Here is an 18,732-nt window from a genome sequence, read left to right on the forward strand (position 1 = left end):
ACAGTGTAAAAGTGTTCCTATTTCTCCACATCCTCTCCAGCATCTGTTGTTTCCTTTTTAAGGATCACCATTCTGACTGGCATGAGATGGTATCTCACTGTGGTTTTGATTTGCATTTCGCTAATGACCAGTGATGATGAGGTTTTTTTCATATGTTTGTTGGCCACATGAATGTCTTCTTTTGAGAAGTGTCTGTTCATATCCTTTGCCCACTTTTTGATGGGGTTGTTTGTTTTTTTCTTGTAAATTTGTTTAAGTTCCTTGTAGATTCTGGATATTAGCCCTTTGTCAGATGGATAGATTGCAAAAATTTTCTCCCATTCTGTAGATTGCCTGTTCACTCTGATGATGTTTCTTTTGCTGTGCAGAAGCTCTTTAGTTTAATTAAATCCCGTTTATCAATTTTGGCTTTTGGTGTTTTAGTCATGAAGTCTTTGCCCATGCCAATGTCCTGAATGGTATTGCTTAAGTTTTCTTCTGGAGTTTTTATGGTTTTAGGTCTTACAAGTCTTTAATCCATCTTGGGATAATTTTTGTATAAGGTGTAAAGAAGGAGTCCAGTTTCAGTTTTCTGCATATGGCTAGCCAGTTTTCCCAACACCATTTATTACATAGGGAATCCTTTCCCCATTGCTTGTTTCTGTCAGGCTTGTCAAAGATCAGATGGTTGTAGATGTGTGGCATTATCTCTGAGGCCTCTGTTCAGTGCCATTGGTCTATATATCTGTTTTGGTACCAGCACCATGCTCTTTTGGTTACTGTAGTCTTGTAGTGTAGTTTGAAGTCAGATAGTGTGATGCCTCCAGCTTTGTTCTTTTTGCTTAGGATTGCCTTGGCTATGTGGGCTCTTTTTTTGGTTCCATATGAAATGTAAAGTAGTTTTCTCTAATTCTGTGAAGAAAGTCAATGGTAGCTTGATGGGGATAGCATTGAATCTATAAATTACCTTGGGCAGTATGGCCATTTTCACGACATTGATTCTTCCTGTCCATGAGCATGGAATCCTTTTCCATTTGTTTATGTCCTCTCTTATTTCATTGAGCAGTGGTTTGTAGTTCTCCTTGAAGAGGTCCTTCACATCCCTTGTAAGTTGGATTCCTAGGTATTTTATTCTCTTTGAAGCAATTGTGAATGGGAGTTCACTCATGATTTGGCTCTCTGTTTGTCCTTTATTGGTGTATAGGAATGCTTGTGACTTTTGCACATCAATTTTGTATCCTGAGACTTTGCTAAAGTTGCTTATCAGCTTAAGGAGATTTTGGGCTGAGATGATGGGGTTTTTTAAATATACAATCTGTCATCTGCAAACAGAGACAATTTGATTTCCTCTCTTCCTATTCCAGTACCCTTTATTTATGTCTCTTGCCTGATTGCTGTGGCCAGAACTTCCAATAATATGTTGAATAGGAGTGGTGGGAGGGGGCATCCTTGTCTTGTGCTGGTTTTCAAAGGGAATGCTTCCAGCTTTTTCCCGTTCAGTGTGATACTGGCTGTGAGTTTGTCATAAATAGCTCTTATTATTTTGAGATACATTTCATCAATACCTAGTTTCTTGAGAGTTTTTAGCATGAAAGGGTGTTGAATTTTGTTGAAGGCCTTTTCTGCATCTACTGAGATAATCATGTGTTTTTTGTCATTGATTCTGTTCGTGTGATGGATTATTTTTATTGATTTACATATGTTGAACCAGCCTTGCATCCCGGGGATGAAGCCGACTTGATCATGGTGGATAAGCTTTTTGATGTGCTGCTGGATTCAGTTTGCCAGTATTTTATTAAGGGTTTTTGCTTTGATGTTCATCAGGGATTTGGCCTGAAATTTTCTTTTTTTGTTGTTTCTCTGCCAGGTTTTGGTATCAGGATGGTGCTGGCCTCATAAAATGAGTTAGGGAGGAGTCCCTCTTTTTCTATTGTTTGGGATAGTTTCAGAAGGGATGGTACCAGCTCCTCTTTGTACCTCTGGTAGAATTCTGCTGTGAATCCATCTGGTCCTGGGCTTTTTTTGGTTAGTAGGCTATTAATTACTACCTCGATTTCAGAACTTGTTATTGGTCTATTCAGGAATTCGACTTCTTCCTGGTTTAGTCATGGGAGGGTGTATGTGTCCAAGAATTTGGCTATTTCTTCTAGATTTTCTAGTTTATTTGCATAGAGGTGTTTATAGTATTCTCTGATGGTAGTTTGTATTTCTGTGGGATCAGTGGTGATATCCCCTTTATCATTTTTTATTGCATCTATTTGATTCTTGTCTCTTTTCTTCTTTATTAGTCTAGCTAGTGGTCTGTCTATTTTGTTAATGTTTTTAAAAAACCGGCTCCTGGATTCATTGATTTTTTTCTTGAAGGGTTTTTCATGTCTCTATCTCCTTCAGTTTTGCTCTGATCTTAGTTATTTCTGGTCTTCTGGTAGCTTTTGAGTTTGTTTGCTCTTGCTTCTCTAGTTCTTTTAATTGTGACGTTAGGGTGTCGATTTTAGATGTTTCCCGCTTTCTCTTGTGGGCATTTAGTGCTATAAATTTTCCTCTAAATGCTGCTTTAGTTGTGTCCCAGAGATTCTTGTATGTTGAGTCTTTGTTTTCATTGGTTTCAAAGAACTTATTTATTTCTGCTTTCATTTCATTATTCACCCAGTAGTCATTCAGGCACAGTTTGTTCAGTTACCATGTAGTTGCATGGTTTTGAGTGATTTTCTTAATCCTGAGTTCTAATTTGATTGCACTGTGGTTTGAGAGACTGTTTGTCATGATTTCTGTTCTTTTGCATTTGCTGAGGAGTGTTTTACTCCAGTTATGTGGTCAATTTTAGAATAAGTGCGATGGGGTGCTGAGAAGAATGTATGTTCTGTTGATCTGGTGTGGAGAGTTCTGTAGATGTCTATTAGGTCTGCTTGGTCCAGAGCTGAGTTGAAGTCCTGGATATCCTTGTTAATTTTCTGTCTCATTGATCTGTGTAATACTGATAGTGGGGTGTTAATGTCTCCCACTGTTATTGTGTGAGAGTCTAAGTCTCTTTGTAGGTCTCTAAGAACTTGCTTTATGAATCTGGGTGCTCCTGTATTGGGCACATACATATTTAGGATAGTTAGCTCTTCTTGTTGCATTGATCAATCCCTTTACCATTATGTAATGGCCTTCTTTGTCTCTTTTGATCTTTGTTGGTTTAAAGTCTGTTTTATCAGAGACTAGGATTGCAGCCCCTGCTTTTTTTGGCTTTCCATTTGCTTGGTAAATATTTCTCCATCCCTTTATCTTGAGCCTGTGTGTGTCTTTGCACGTGAAATGGGTTTCCTGAATACAGCACACTGATGGGTCTTGACTATTTATCCAATTTGCCAGTCTGTGTCTTTTAATTGGGGCATTAGCCTGTTTACATTTAAGGTTAATATTGTTATGTGTGAATTTGATCCTGTCATTATGATGCTAGCTAGTTATTTTGCCCGTTAATTGATACAGTTTCTTCATGGTTTTGATGGTCTTTACAATTTGGTATGTTTTTGCAGTGGCTGGTACTGGTTTTTCCTTTCTGTATTTATTCTTCCTTCAGGATCTCTTGTAAGGCAGGCTGGTGGTGACAGAATCTCTCAGCTTTTGCTTGTCTGTAAAGGATTTTATTTCTCCTTCGCTTATGAAGCTTAGTTTGGCTGGTTATGAAATTCTGGGTTGGAAATTCTTTAAGAATGTTGAATATTGGCCCCTACTTTCTTTTGGCTTGTAGTGTTTCTGCAGAGAGATGCGCTGTTAGTCTGATGGGCTTCCTTCTGTGGGTAACCCAACCTTTCTTCTCTTGCTGCCCTTAATATTTTTGCCTTCATTTCAACCTTGGTGAATCTAACGATTATGTGTGTTGGGGTTGCTCTTCTGGAGGACTATCTTTGTTCTCTGTATTTCCTGAATGTGAATGATGGCCTCTCTTGCCAGGATGGGAAAGTTCTCCTGGATAACATCCTGAAGAGTGTCTTCCAATTTGGTTCCATTCTCCCCATCACTTTCAGGTACACCCGTCAAACGCAGATTTGGTTTTTTCATATAGTCCCATATTTCTTGGAGGCTTTATTCATTTCTTTTCATTCTTTTTTCTCTAATCTTGTTTTCACGCTTTATTTCATTAAGTTGATTTTCAATCTCTGATATCCTTTCTTCTGCTTGATCTATTCAGCTATTTATACTTGTGTATGCTTCACGAAGTTCTTGTGCTGTGTTTTTCAGCTCCATCAGATCATTTATGTTCTTCTCTAAACTAGTTATTCTTGTTAGCAATTCCTCTAACCTTTTTTCAAGGTTCTTAGTTTCCTTGCATTGGGTTAGAACATGCTCGTTTAGCTCAGAGGAGTTCATTACTACCCACCTTCTGAAGCCTACTTTTGTCAACTTGTCAAACTTATTCTCCATCCAGTTCTGTTCCCTTGCTGGCGAGGAGTTGTGATCCTTTAGAAGAGAAGAGACGTTCTGGTTTTTGGAATTTTCAGCCTTTTTGCCCTGGTTTTTTTTTCATCTGTGAGGATTTATCTACCTTTGGTCTTTGATGCTGATGCCCTTTGGATGGGGTTTTTGTGTGGACATCCTTTTTGTTGATGTTGATGCTCTTCCTGTCTGTTTGTTAGTTTTCCTTTGAATAGTCAGGCCCCTCTTCTGCAGGTCTGCTGGAGTTTGCTGGAGGTCCACTCCAGACCCTGTTTGCCTGGGTATCACCAGCGGAGGCTGCAAAACAGCAAAGATTGCTGCCTGTTCCTTCCTCTGGAAGCTTCGTCCTGGGGAGGGGCACTTGCCAGATGCCAGCTGGAGCTCTCCTGTATGAGGTGTCTGTCGACCCCTCCTGGGAGGTGTCTCCCAGTCAGGAGACACGGGGGTCAGGGACCCACTTGAGGAGGCAGTCTGTCCCTTAGCAGAGCTCAAGCGCTGTGCTGGGAGATCCACTGCTCTCTTCAGAGCTGGCAGGCAGGAACTTTTAAGTCTGCTGAAGCTGCGCCCACAGCTGCCTCTTCCCTCAGGTGCTCTGTCCCAGGGAGATGGCACGTTTATCTTATAAGCCCCTGACTGGGGCTGCTGCCTTTCTTTCAGAGATGCCCTGCCCAGAGAGGAGAAATCTAGAGAGGCAGACTGGCTACAGCTGCTTTGCTGAGCTGTGGTGGGCTCTGCCCAGTTCGAACTTCCCAGTGGCTTTGTTAAAACTGTGAGGGGAAAACCGCCTCCTCAAGCCTCAATAATGGAGGATGCCTCTCCCGCAACAAAGCTGGAGTGTCCTAGGTCAACTTCAGACTGCTGTGCTGGCAGTGAGAATTTCAAGCCAGCGGATCTTAGCTCACTGATCTCCATGTGGGTGGGAAAATTTCAAGCCAGTGGATCTTAGCTTGCTGAGTTCCATGGGGGCGGGATCTGCTGAGCTAGACCACTTTGCTCCCTGGCTTCAGCCCCCTTTCCCAGGGAGTGAACGGTTCTGTCTCGCTGGCATTCCAGGTGCCACCAGGGTATGAAAAGAAACTCCTGCAGCTAGCTTGGTGTCTGCCCAAATGGCCGCCCAGTTTTGTGCTTGAAACTTAGGGCCCTGGTGTTGTAGGCATCTGAGGGAATCTTCTGGTCTGTGTGTTGTGAAGACTGTGGGAAAAGCATAGTATCTGGGCTGGAGTGTACCATTCCTCACAGCAGGGTCCCTCATGGTTTCCCTTGGCCAGGGGAGGTAGTTTCCTGATCCCTTGTGCTTCCCGGGTGAGATGACACCCTGCTCCTGCTCGCCCTCGTGGGCTGTACCCACTGTCTAACCAGTCCCAATGAGATAAGCCAGGTACCCCAGTTGGAAATGCAGAAATCACCCACCTTCTGCATTGATCTCTCTGGGAGCTGCAGACCTGAGCTATTCCTATTCAGCCACCTTGCCAGCCACCCCGGGCTTCATTTTTATAGAGGCATAGTATTAAAAGAGTGAACTTGCTACTTACTATGAATTTCAAAAGGGTAATGAGAGGGTCTTTTATCTCTGGATAGTTCCCTCTCCACTTCATTTGTACATGATGATTTGGAGAGTCTGGCACTAAACTTGTCTTGATTATGAAAAAGGTTGAGAACCATTCAGCCGATGTCACCCTGGGCATCAGATGTATATTGGAGTTCAAATCCCTTAGTCTTTGTCACTGAATCAGGACCATCTGGTAGGATTGTACAAGTTGTGCCCTGTCATTAAGACCCTTGATAATCTGACTCCAGTAAGTCTTCTCTGCCTTACCTTCTACATTTCTATATTCTAACCAAACAAGTCTGTATAATGTTTCCAGAACATACCGTGTACTTTCCTTCCTCCATACTTTTGACTCCTACATAATAAAAAATACACGTTTAACTTTTGACTCGCAGAAATTAACCTCTAGTAACCTATTGTTAACCAGATGCCTTACCAATAAATAAAGTCAATTATCACATAATTTGTATGTAATATGTACTGTCTTCTTACAGTAAAGTAAGCTAAAGAAGTAAAGTAAGTAAAGTAAAGTAAGCTAAATGTTACTGTCATTAAGAAAATAATAAGGAAGAAAAAACATATTAATTAAGTGGAAGTGGATCACTATAAAGGTCTTCTTCCTCATCATCTTCACATTTAGTAGGTTGAGGAGGAGGAAGAGGAGAGAAGTTGGTCTTGCTGTCTCGGGGGTAGCATAGGCAGGGCAAAGTCTGCATATAAGTAGACGCTGCAGTTCAAACCTGTGCTGTTCAAAGGTCAGCTGTAGATGCTAGTTAAAAAAGACACATATTCACAAAAGATACCTTTTTAGTGGAAATTCCTTTATTGACAACCCTCTAGTCATATATAATTCTGAGAAACAGCAGCATGAGTATTAGGCTACCAAGCAATTGGTTGTCTTTTCTAAACATAGTATGCAGTTTCCCACTCCTTGCCTTAGAAAATAATGTTCCCTCTGCCTAGAATATGCGTTGCCTCTTTCCTTGCCTGGCAACCTTCTAGTTATCTTTCAAAACCCCCCTTAAATATCATCACCTCTGTAAGGACATTCCTGTCCCCTAGGCAGAATTAGTCACTTCCTCCTCCCAATCTGCCTGTGTGAAAGCCCATATAGTACTCCTGTACTCCATTGTGAGGTCCCCTAAATAGGTGCCATCTGTTTAGCCCCAGCTTCAGAAGTGCTAGGTGCTCCAACCGTTAAGAGAATGAATGAGTTAATGAATAATACAGAAACCCCAAAATGGTCAAAAGTCCAGATTTTTGACAAGAATGATGGGCTAACATCCTTCCCTTACCTAACCATTTGCCAGTTGTGGTTTCTGTTTTGTATTATTTTAATACAAAATTAAACATTTGAAGTTTTATTTTCAATGTTTGTCTTCCTAGGTCCTACTAGAAGACCATTTAATTAAAGGGAGGGCCTGAAGAAGGGGTCTAGGCAGTTTGCATTTGGGCTAATTAATCCCTGATCTCCATACTAGAAGGTTCTCTTTAGTACTAATCATATTTTCTATCTGTAGGAGTAGTCTCAATAATCTGTACACAATTCATTCTATTGTTTTCCCTTCAACCAGTCTTAGAAAATGATTTGCAAGAATGTTATTATTTCCTTTATTCAGGGAAAAAGAAAACATGTTCTAATTCCCCAGTGGCATATACTATATACAGATTTTAAGGTAGATACTTCTACAGTCAGAAAATAGATTAATACTTCCTAGCAACATACTGCAATGAAGTAGTAGCAATGACATTTTTGTTTTAACTTCTTTGTTATTAACTATGGAAGTCATAATTTGATACAGATTTTTATTTAATTCCATGTTTTTGATATTCTTGAAAATAGTATTTTTAATTTCAGTTTCCAATAGATTTTGTTCCTGTTTTTCTATTTTTTTTATTTCTACTGTTTGTTATTGTCTTCCTTCTTATTTGCTCATTGTCTTCTAATTTCTTAAAGTGGAAGCATAGGAATTTTATTTGAAATATCTTTTTGAATATATACATTAAATGCCTTAAATTCTTCTCTAAACACTGCTTTGTGTCTTAGCTCAGGCTGCCATAACAAAATACTTTAGACTGGGTAGATAACAGATATTTATTTTTCACAGTTCTGGAGACTGGGAAGTTCAAGATCCAGGTGCCCCCAGATTTGGTTCCTAGTAGAGGCCCGCTTCTAGCTTGCAGAGGGCTTCCTGTCTGCATCCTCATGTGACTGAAAGAGATGGAGTGGAGTAGGGAGGGACAGGCTCTGTCTTCCTCTTCTTATATGGACACTAATTCCATCATAGCGGCCCATCCTCATAAACTCATCTAAACCTAATTACCTCCAAAAGGCCTCACCTCCAATGCTAAAACATTGGGTGTTAGAACTTCAACATATGAATTTTGGGTGGCACAAGCATTCAGTTCATAACACCTTCCAAAAGTTTGATATTTTATGTTTATGTTTTCAGTGAGTAAATATTTATGTCAAAATATTTTCTACTTTTGTGATTTATTTTTGAACTATGGAATATTTAGAAGTGTGTAGTATAATTTCCAAATATTTTGGGTTTCTAATATTAATCTGTTGATTGTTAATTAATCTGTTAATTGATAGAAATCAATTGCTAATTGAGTTCTATTTTAATCCCATTGTAGTCTGGAATATAATTCCTATGATTTTAAACTTTTAAATTTATAATGATTTGTTTTTTGATCCAGAATATAGTTTATCTCAATAAATATTTCATTTATACTTAGCAAGAATATGTATTCTGTTTGGGGATAGAGTATTCTATAAATATCAATTAGGTCAAGTTGGTTGATAGTGTTGATCATGTCAGCCTATATCTATTGATTTTATGTCTTACTTATTTTATCAATTACTGAGAGAGGAATATTGAAATCTCATCTATAGTTGTGGATGTGTCTATTTCTCCTTTCAGTTTTTTTTTTTTCTGTATTTTAAGTCTCTCTTATTGGGTACATACACATTTAGCATTATATTTTTTTGCTGAATTGACCCTTTCATCATTATGTTACATACCCTGACTCCTGGTAACATTTCTTATTCTTTAGAGCCTCTACTTTGTCTGATATATAGCTTCTGCAGGTTACTTTTGATTTGTATTTGCCTGGTAAATCTTTTTCTGTTCTTTTATTTTTAGGCTGATCTTCAGTAAGTTTTTTATAGATGTCTGTGGTTGACTCTTGCTTTTTAAAATCTCATATAACAACTTTTGCTTTTTAATTGAAGCATGTAGATCTGTGCTGTCCCATATATGTGACTACAGTTGGCCCAACATATATTCAGGTTCTGCATCAGCAGATTCAACCAACCACAGATTGAAAATATTCAGAAAAAATTATAATACAACAATAAAAGAAGGCCAACAAATTTAAAAATACAGTGTAACAACCATTTATGTAGCATTTACATTGTATTAGGATTATAAATAATCTGGAGATGATTTAAAGTGTATAGTAGGATGTACATAGTTTTCATGCAAATACTACACCATTTTATATATGGGACTTGTGCATCCTCAGATTTTGTTATCCACAGGAAGTCCTGTAGCCAATCCCCACAGATAGCAAGGGACAACTGTATTTAAATGTAACTTAGTTAAAATTAAAATTTAATTTCTTAATCACAGTAGCCGTTTTTAATGATCTCAATATATGTGGCAGGTGGCTACAACATTGGACAGTATGGCTCTAGAACATAGGAGGGTTTACTGCCCCTTGTCTTGATGGCAGCTGAATGCTGCTTTGTGTCTGTAGGGGGTCTTGGGTCAGAGCAAACGCTTTCTTTTTCTCTGTGAAGGGATAGGGTATAGGAGGGCTTCCTGACCCTATGTCAGTGGCAGATAGTTTTAGCCCTATATCGAAATGTAGTATCTGGCCTGTGGCCCTGGGCCAAAGCAGTGCCTGCCACCAGTGGATAGTGTGAAGGACTGCCTAGACAGAGCCAATTTATCAAGACAGAGGAATTGCAATGGAGAAAGAGTAATTCATGCAGAGCCAGCTGTGTGGGAGACTGGAGTTTTATTATTACTCAAATTAGTCTCTTCAAGCATTCGGGGATCAGAGTTTTTAAACATAAGATAGATATAAGTGGGGAGTGCTGATTGGTCAGGTTGGAGATAGAATCATAGAGGATGGAAGTGAGGTTTTCTTGTTGTCTTATGTTCCTGGGTAGGATCACAGAACTGGTTGAGCCAGATAACCAGTCTGGGTCGTGTTAGCTGATCCATCAAGTGCAGGGTCTGCAAAATATCTCAAGCACCGATCTTAGGTTTTGCAATAGTGATGTTATTCATAGTAATTAATAGTGATTTTATCCCCAGGAGCAATTTGGGGAGGTTCAGACTCTTGCAGCCAGAGGTTGCATGACCCTTAAACTGTAATTTCTAATCTTGTAACTAATTTGTTAGTACTGCAAAGGCAGAATGGTCCCCAGGCAAGAAGGGCTCTTTTCTGGAAAAGGCTATTATCTATTTTGTTTCAGAGTCAAACCATAAACTGAATTCCTTCCCAAGATTAGTTCACGCCCATGAATGAGCAAGGACAACTTAAAGGTTAGAAGCAAGAAGTCAGTTAGGTCTGATCTCTTTCACTGCCATAATTTCCTCGGTTATAATTTTTGCAAAGGTGGTTTCATTAGGAACAAAGTGCACTTATGAATAGCCTTTCAGAACATGACATACTGGTAAACAGCAAAGCTTCAGTGTTTTCCCTTTAAAACTCAGGTGAACAGGAGAGTTTAAGAGAAGATTCTGAGCTTGTGGAAGTAGCACAGTTTTACAGATAAGAAAATGTTTTCCAGGATAAAGGTAAATACTAAATACTTCAAGGAGTTTTTTTTTTAGATTTCAACTTAAGAAAGACTGATTTGTGTTCATCCCCAAAACACATTTGTCTGCCCAAAGGGGAAAACGACCTGACCTACCTTAATTAAAATGGGTTCAGTGCATCCCTGTGCTTGTATTTAATGATTTACTAATAAGTGAGTTACAACATCTTTTTTACTTCAGATTAAGACAGTTTGTTTCGTCATGTTACCTTAAGGCAGTCTCTTTCCTCCATCAGCCTGTTGTTGCAATGTGGAAATGAGGGGTGTTAGATCTTTTTGTTTATTAGGAAAAGCTGGAAATCCCTAATTTTTTGAATGCCTGTAAATTGTTGTAAATTCCTCTTCATTTCTTCCACCGTCTCTCTTACTCAAATTAAAAATAAATGATCCTAAGTATAGTTGGGAGTGTTAAAAAAGATAAATGAAAATACAATTTTATTTCTTGTTTTTCTCTGACAGTTACTACTTGGTTAATGATTGTTTTTATGGTTTTAGTTGAAAGGGCTACGTCAGTAGGATCATCAAATCTGAGAGGTTTTTAACAAGGAAAAAGTGTTATTAAAATACTGAGACTATGAATTACAGTGTAATCTTCTTGAAGGCAGAGATTATGTTTTACATCTGTTCCCACAAGCACAGCACAATGCCAGGGACCCAGAAAGCAACCAATAAACATTTGCTTCAAATTGATTTTCTCAAGTGAGTAAATTGGAACTCCTGCTTTTTTGAAACAATACAGTCCTCATAATAAACAAAATATTTATACTCATTTTTTGTTATTATGAGGGCACTTTCTTTAACAAAGTGATTTTAAAAAGGGAAAATGGTTTTAGTTTTGTAATAGAGCATTACAAAAGTTAAAGTTGCATTATACTGACTGCGGTTTTGACTTTTGAGCCAAAAATGCAAATTTAAACCAGTTAACTCCAGAACATAGTACTCGGAGAAAAGGCAAAGGATTATTTGATTTCTGTAATACATATTTTACCAAGATTTTAAACTGTGCTTTATTTTCTGTTTTCTACTCGACTATCCCAGTAATATGATTTCCTTGCTTCCTTGCTCTGGCTCTTAAGTCCGACCTGAAAAAAAGCCCACAGTTTTGCAGGGTAGTGCCATTCCAGATTTATGATTTTTATTTTCTTTTGGGCCTTCCTGGCCTTGGCAGTCTCTTTTTTTCTATGTCCAGTTAATTCTTGTCATTCATCTCATTGGGTGTTTTCAAACTTCCCCAACTCTTCTCTGGTTTACGTTACAACCCCCATTTCCTACTCAATTATCTCCTCTCATTTACTTGGAAAAATAGGGACAATAGGCCGGACTTCTGGTAGACTTTGTGCCCTTGTATGTATCTCTGTGCGCATACTGCTGTGGTCTCTCAGCCTCCTTCCCTGCAGTCGCCAAGGAAGAGGTCTTTCTCTTGTAGTTCCCCACTAATCCTTCCACCTGCGTGCCTGATTATGTCCTTCCTGCTTCCTTTGAGCCCTAATTCTATCAGTTACTCCCTTTCCTGTATTTTTATCCTTTTCATCCCTACTGGCTCCTAGAAAATATGCTCAAGTTTCTGCTTTTTATTTATTTTATTTAACAAAAGCTTTCTCCAACTCTAACTTTTTTTATTGCCAGGTTTCTACCCAGAGTAGACTATATTTGCAACATCCACTTCACAAATTAGCTGGAACTGCCCATACCAAAGCCACCGACTGCAATTTAAATTGCTGTCTTACCTACTCCTCCATTAATGACACAGCTCAAGCCCTCACCTAGAACACTGCAGATGTTTCTTGACTCATCCTCCCTGTCTTCAGTCTTCCTTTTTCCAATTCATCTTTCCCACCACTGCAGGGTGATCTTTTAAAATACTCTTATGACAATATTACTCCTCTGTCCTTAAATCCCTTCAAAAAATCAACATTACCCACAAGTTGAAAAATTAAACTCCATAGAAGGGCATATGAAGCCACTAATGGTTTGATCTCTGGCTCTCCAGTTTTATCTGCTCCTGGTCTGTTATTGAGTCCTACCTATAGATCCAAAAGTAAGGTGCTATTTCACACTTCTAAGACTTTTCTATTCAGTGTCCTCTAGTGGAGTAGTATTTCCTTGTATCCCTAGAGATCTCCTCCTTAACTTTCAAAGACTGTGATCCAGCATCCTCACCAGGCTTTACCTGACTTCTTTTCCCATCTTCTATTCCTTCTGAACCTATTAATATTATACTACCATGATAAAGTTGACCTTTTCTTGGTGTTTTTACTATACAGTTTATGGATATTGCCATTTTTTTGTACAATTTATTGTAGATATTTGTTTTGAATGTTTGCCTCCCTTTCTAGACAGATCTCATTGTTGGGTAAGGAGCCATTTAACCGATCTTGACATCTGCCACACCTGGCATAGTGCCTTGCACATAACAAGGGCTCCTAAATGTTTGTAGAATGAGTGAATTTTAGCAAATATTAATTGGTTGTTCTTCTATAAGATCAGCATTATACTTTTAAATTTAGATAATAAGTTTTGGATTGGATGTGTTTAGTATCACTGAACTTAGTGCTGGATGCTGTGTCATACAGTTTCAAGGCAATCTAAAGAATAGGGAAGATAAATTTGTAGCTAGTGACTTAATAAGATGGTCTGTACGAATATGTAGGTCTTTTGTTCATATTGTCAAGTGTACCAGCTCATCCATGCATTCCTTTTTTAGTCAAATTGTACTAAACAGAGAAAAGATTTCCTGAGATGTATGATCCTTTTTCTCCTTGGCTTCTAATCTATCTTTCCTTCATTGCCATATAGCTGCCAGAGGACTTCATATACAATGAAAATCTGATGATTTACTTTTCTCTTTATACCTCTTCAGTTCTTCTTTCCATTCACCTATATTCTCATCACTTTGTCTCCTACTTTACCAAATTTGAAGTCTTGTTATTGAGTAGACTTCTTTTGAGAGTTTGTGGTCACTTACAGAACTGCTCTGCATCCCCTTTGTACCTGCAGCTGATAACACTCACTATTCCCTACTCCAAGCATGTGGGTTCAACAGGATAAACATAACAGCACATTGGTAATGTTTATGTTAAATAAGCCAGTCTTGTCCAAGCATCTGCTGCACAGGCGCAGAAACAGATAAGTTGTTTCAGCAATTGGCTGCCAGGGGAACAGAAGGGTTGCCACAACAAAGTCAGCAAACAACCCCCAAAAGTCTCTAAGAAGTGTGAACTCATGCTGCTGGAAAATAAAAATCAGTCAAAAATTTGTACATTTTGATGCTTGACCTTGACTTTGTTTCTCACATCCCTATGTAGAGATAGGACTATTTTCTGCAGCAATTGGGTTATCTTTAGATGAGTACATTTCAGATTCACTCAGCTTTTGAAGGAAAGTGTATTTGAAATCTCCCTGTTCTCTGGAAAGTTGCTTTGTCGTATAGTTGGATTGTACTCCCTTTGGAAGCTTTGTCTTTTTGACTGACTTTGATAAGGTCAGCTCCAAGGAAACCCAGCATCCTCTTTTCCCTGGCGCCACTGGGCCCGCCACCCTCTCCTCTGCTTCCTCACCCTCCCTTCCTTACCACCTCTCTATCCGTCACTTGAACTGGCTGCCAGCGTTCACAGACAGCTGGGGAGAGAGTGGCTAAATCTGCCCAGCTGCCCGGGAAGCTTGGCAGCCAGGCTGAGGGAAGGAAGCATCGGCTCTCTTTGAAGGTCGGCTGCCAGTGAATCTCAGGCAGCTGGACTTCAAAGGGGGGCACCGCCGGGCTTTCCCTCCCGTCTAGGCAGGTCATTCCACGGCGCTGTGCTTCCGGTGTTGGCATGGTGGCTTTCCTCTTCAATTAAAAGCTGAATTGGGATCTGCACTTGTGTTCACACTTGTGTTTCTTATGTGACATAGACAGCCTAAGATCCCCAACTCCTGTTACCCCAGACTTAGGAGTTAAAGATAAAGAAGAAAAGGTGATATCATATAAAGGGCAACTAAGGAGATCTACAGCAGCGAGTGTGTTTTCCTTATTGCCAGTTAGTAACTGTGCTATTTGCCAAGTTTTAAATTACTTTAGGGACTCTTGGTGTGATCTTGAATAAAGGCCAATCAGCTTGTGCTTATGGACTCAGTTTAGCTATGGCCTGAGATTGGGTCTAGCAACGGATGATAATTTTATCTGTTTTCAGAAACTGTGGTAGTGCTAATAGAACCCACTATTCTACACCTAACTCTTGCTTTACTTCCCTACTTTTCACATTCAGATTCCGTTGGTGGTTGGTGACAGGACTGGCCTAGCAAGGGAAGAACAAGGGTGCTGCACAAACAGAGTCTAGGCTCACTTTAGTTGCAAATGAGGGTCAGAGCAGAGGTAGCCTGAAATCAGAGGAACCATGAGTACTATGTACCATGTATAGTGGTCGTTAAGTGTGCAGATCCTGGGACACACTGCTTGGGTTCAAATCCTGGCTCTGCCCCTTACTGGTCACATGTCTAGGGTAACTAACCTTACCTTTCTGCACCCCATACTCTCCCTGGAAAGTGGGGATAATAATAGTACTTATCTCTTAGGACAGTTGAGAAGATTCAAAGGGTTATTAGATTCCATGCACTTAGGACAATATCTAGCCCATAGTGAGTGTCCAATACATGTTTTTGCTATTACTATGTACCAGCCCCCATGACTGGATCTAGAGGGAGGTAACAAGTGACTGGTAGGTGATTTTTATTGCCTCTTCGTGGATGAAACACTACTAGCTTCTGCCTTAGATTGAATTTATACTAGACTTTTTTGAGAAATCTAAAATAATGCAAAAAGAATGCATTATATAATTTGAAGGAGAAAAAAAGTTATTTTATGCTGTCCATCTCACTCCTTGCACTGTCATCCCTGGGGATACAAGGAGGTGTCATTCACTGAGGGCCATTCATTTCACTCAGCCTCAGTTTTCTTGTTTGTAAAATGAGATAATAATTACACATACCCCAGGAGGCTTTCTTTTAATGATGAAATTGGAAAATGTATGTTTTACTGCACTGAATAGCAACATGTTCAGTAACTGTAGCTGTTGCTGTTATTATCATCATTATTATTATTTCCACCACCATTAATGTTGCCATTTAAAATTCTTACTGAATCACAGGAGGCCTTTAACTTAGCTAACAGTGATTTGACAAATAGAGGTCTTTTTCCTAAGGTTTTAGTTTTTTCCAGATAAAAGTGAGCTAATTGTGGGCCAAATTCAGCCTGTCCTCTTTTTTATAAATAAAGTTTTGCTGGATTGCATAGCCTTATCCATTTGTTTATGTATTAGCTATGGCTGCTTTCATGCTACAACAGGAGAAGTGAACAGTTGCAACAGAGTCTGTATGGTCCTCAAAGCCTAAAATATGTATTATAAGCCCCTTTCTAGAAAAAGTTTGCTAGACCTTGCTCTAGGTATATGTTTCTCCAGTGAGGTCCAGAGAATGTTAGTTCAATCCATGCTAGTCTGTACGATCTGAAAAAAAAAAAAAAAAAAAAAAAAAAAGGTTCTATAGTCAAATAAGCTTTAGAAATGTTAAGGAGGTTGATTTATTCTAGGACTACTACTTAAAAGACTTTGGCTTTTAATATACTCATGTTTATTGTGAATCTTCAAGACAAGGCCATGGTGTGCAAATAAACTCTAGTTTCGCAGGCTTACTTGGCTGTAGTCCCCTAATATGATGATGTTACAAAAACAAACAAAGCAAAACAAAACAAAACAAAAAACAATTCTCTAGGAACCCTTGCTCTTGGGCTTTCTCTCTGGAAGGACTTTCTTTCTAAATCATTCCTCTTGGTGATTTAGGTGATATCCTCATTTGGAGACCTACAGAATATCATATGAAATTCTGTGTTAGTTGTATCATTTTTTTCCCAGTAAAAATTATATTTTGCTTAGCATCAGAACAGTAAAATATACCAGATATTTAAGTCATCTAATCAGATAATATCTGCCTTTTTGAATGATTCTGTATGATGTCTGAAGATTATAAATTAGAGTCTCAAAGTCCAAGAAAGACAGGATGTTTCATTTCATGCCTTCTTGAAATTCTAAAAGCATGGGTCTTCTGTAGGACTTAAAATGTTTTTTTGCATTCAGATTTCTGAAGCATAAATTTAGAGTGCCTAAGTGATATACCAACTGGTCTCAACTAGGGTTTATAAGAAGAGAGATTAATGTGAAGGTAACTTGTGCATTAGCCATAAGGGGTTTGTTTTATAGACTAAAGTAAACACCTTCAATTTCAAGTTGCAAGCACACAGGGAGCCAGAAGATTCCAGAGCGGTGGCATCATATTCTGCCTGTGACTCACACATCTAAGTGGTTGAGCTTTCTCCCGCAGCTGCAGCTTCCAGCTGGTCATCAGTTAGAGTCCTAGGTAGTCACACACTGTGGTCACCTGGTTTGAGATGACCAAACAGGCATATAATTACAACATAGGCCAGTTATGAATGAAGGCTGGGTTATCTCTTTGCCAAACACAGATAAAAAATAAATGCTAAGTCATAGCTGTTTTCTGAAATCCCAGTGGTTGCAATAGTGAACCTGGACTGAAAGTAGAGAACCCTCCTGGAAGATTCCACCCTGGTTGTAAATGCACACTCTCTTTCTCATTTGTGAGCTTCCTCATTAATGGCATAGAGCATTCTTAGCCATTTTGGTGCCCTCCAAAATGCCTGGTTTATAGTTGGTGCAATAAATGTTTTATGAAAGAATATGAGGTCATACATGTTTTCCCCCTTTCCCAACTTGCAAATTATTTCAAGAAAATTCTGTATTTTCTTTTTATTTATATATCTCAGTGTTGTGTGTATAACAGGTTCTCAGTAAATGTTGTTGACATTGTAAATGTAGATTCCAAAAACTTCCTTATTTCACTTTTACATTATGGGGATGCTGAATGGACTTTTCAGAAATCTTTGTCAGATCCCACTGTCTTTTGTTTTTAAATTATTTCTTTAAAAGAAAGGAAGGAAGGAGAGAGGGAAGGGGGAAAACATCTTGACCTGGAACATAATTATCTTTTTTTTAAAAAAAAAAAAACATTTTGTTTTCTTTAGAGTCAGGGGTCTTGCTCTGTAGCCCAGGCTGGAGTGCAGTGGTGCAGTAATGGCTCACTACAGCCTCAAACTCCTGGACTGAAGCTATCCTCCTGGGCAATGAGTGAGGCAGTCCCAGATTCTCCTCTTACCACCTGTGTTGTCAGACCACTGCTGGTACCACTTGTGTTAGTCTGGGTCCTCTGAGAAGCAGACACCAAGACAGGATTAAATGTGTAAGAGATTTACTGGGGAGTACCTAGAAGGGAAATTGGGGAGGGAGCCAGAGAAGTCTGGAGAGAGTCAGACCATGATGTAGACCATGCGTTTGTGAAGGAGAGAGGAAAGAATGGAATATTGAATATCCATCAGCTGATGAATGGATAAATAAAATGTGGTACATCCATACAGTGAAATATTATTTGGCAATAAAAAGAAATGAAGTGCTGATACATACTGCAACATGGACGAACCTCAAAAACATTACGCTAAATGAAAGAAGCTGTCACAAAAGGCAGCATGTTTTATGATTTCATTTGTATGAAGTGTTCAGTTTAGGCAAATCTACACAGAAACTAAATTAGTGGTTGCTTAGGACTGAAATATTAAGAAAAAAAAGGGAGTGATTGTGATTGCTCATGTGTATGGGGTTTCCTTTTGGGGTAGTGCGAGGTTCTAAAATTGATTGTACTGGTGGCTGCGCAACTCTTGGAATATACTGAAAACGTTGAACTACATAGTTTAAGTGAGCAAAGTGCATGGTATGTGAATTGTGTCTCAATAAAAATCTTATATCAAAAGAAAAGAAAAAAAGGGGGAGTATATGCTGAAAGGATCTTGGACTACTGCACGATGCTAAGAAAGTTTTGGCCAAGCTAACTGGAATTCCATTTATCCTCC

At 39.0% G+C, this 18,732-nt stretch overlaps 1 protein-coding gene across 5 annotated transcripts in view, besides 2 other annotated features; it reads left to right on the plus strand.

The window, feature by feature from the left end:
* WDR70 (WD repeat domain 70) overlaps positions 1 to 18,732 on the plus strand; it is a 374,118-nt gene that overhangs the window by 272,260 nt on the left and 83,126 nt on the right. The gene's annotated exons all lie outside the window — the stretch shown is intronic.
* Positions 14,190 to 14,484: a silencer, noted in NCBI's record as "tiled region #3878; HepG2 Repressive DNase matched - State 23:Low, and K562 Repressive non-DNase unmatched - State 7:EnhWF". NCBI's record gives its function as "represses a minimal TATA promoter and a strong SV40 promoter by Sharpr-MPRA in HepG2 and K562 cells {active_cell/tissue: HepG2 | K562}" and the evidence as "EXISTENCE:reporter gene assay evidence [ECO:0000049][PMID:27701403]".
* Positions 16,950 to 17,244: an enhancer, noted in NCBI's record as "tiled region #6618; HepG2 Activating DNase unmatched - State 8:EnhW". NCBI's record gives its function as "activates a minimal TATA promoter and a strong SV40 promoter by Sharpr-MPRA in HepG2 cells {active_cell/tissue: HepG2}" and the evidence as "EXISTENCE:reporter gene assay evidence [ECO:0000049][PMID:27701403]".

Source organism: Homo sapiens, chromosome 5 (assembly GCF_000001405.40).
Source record: "Homo sapiens chromosome 5, GRCh38.p14 Primary Assembly".
Lineage (NCBI taxonomy): Eukaryota > Metazoa > Chordata > Mammalia > Primates > Hominidae > Homo > Homo sapiens.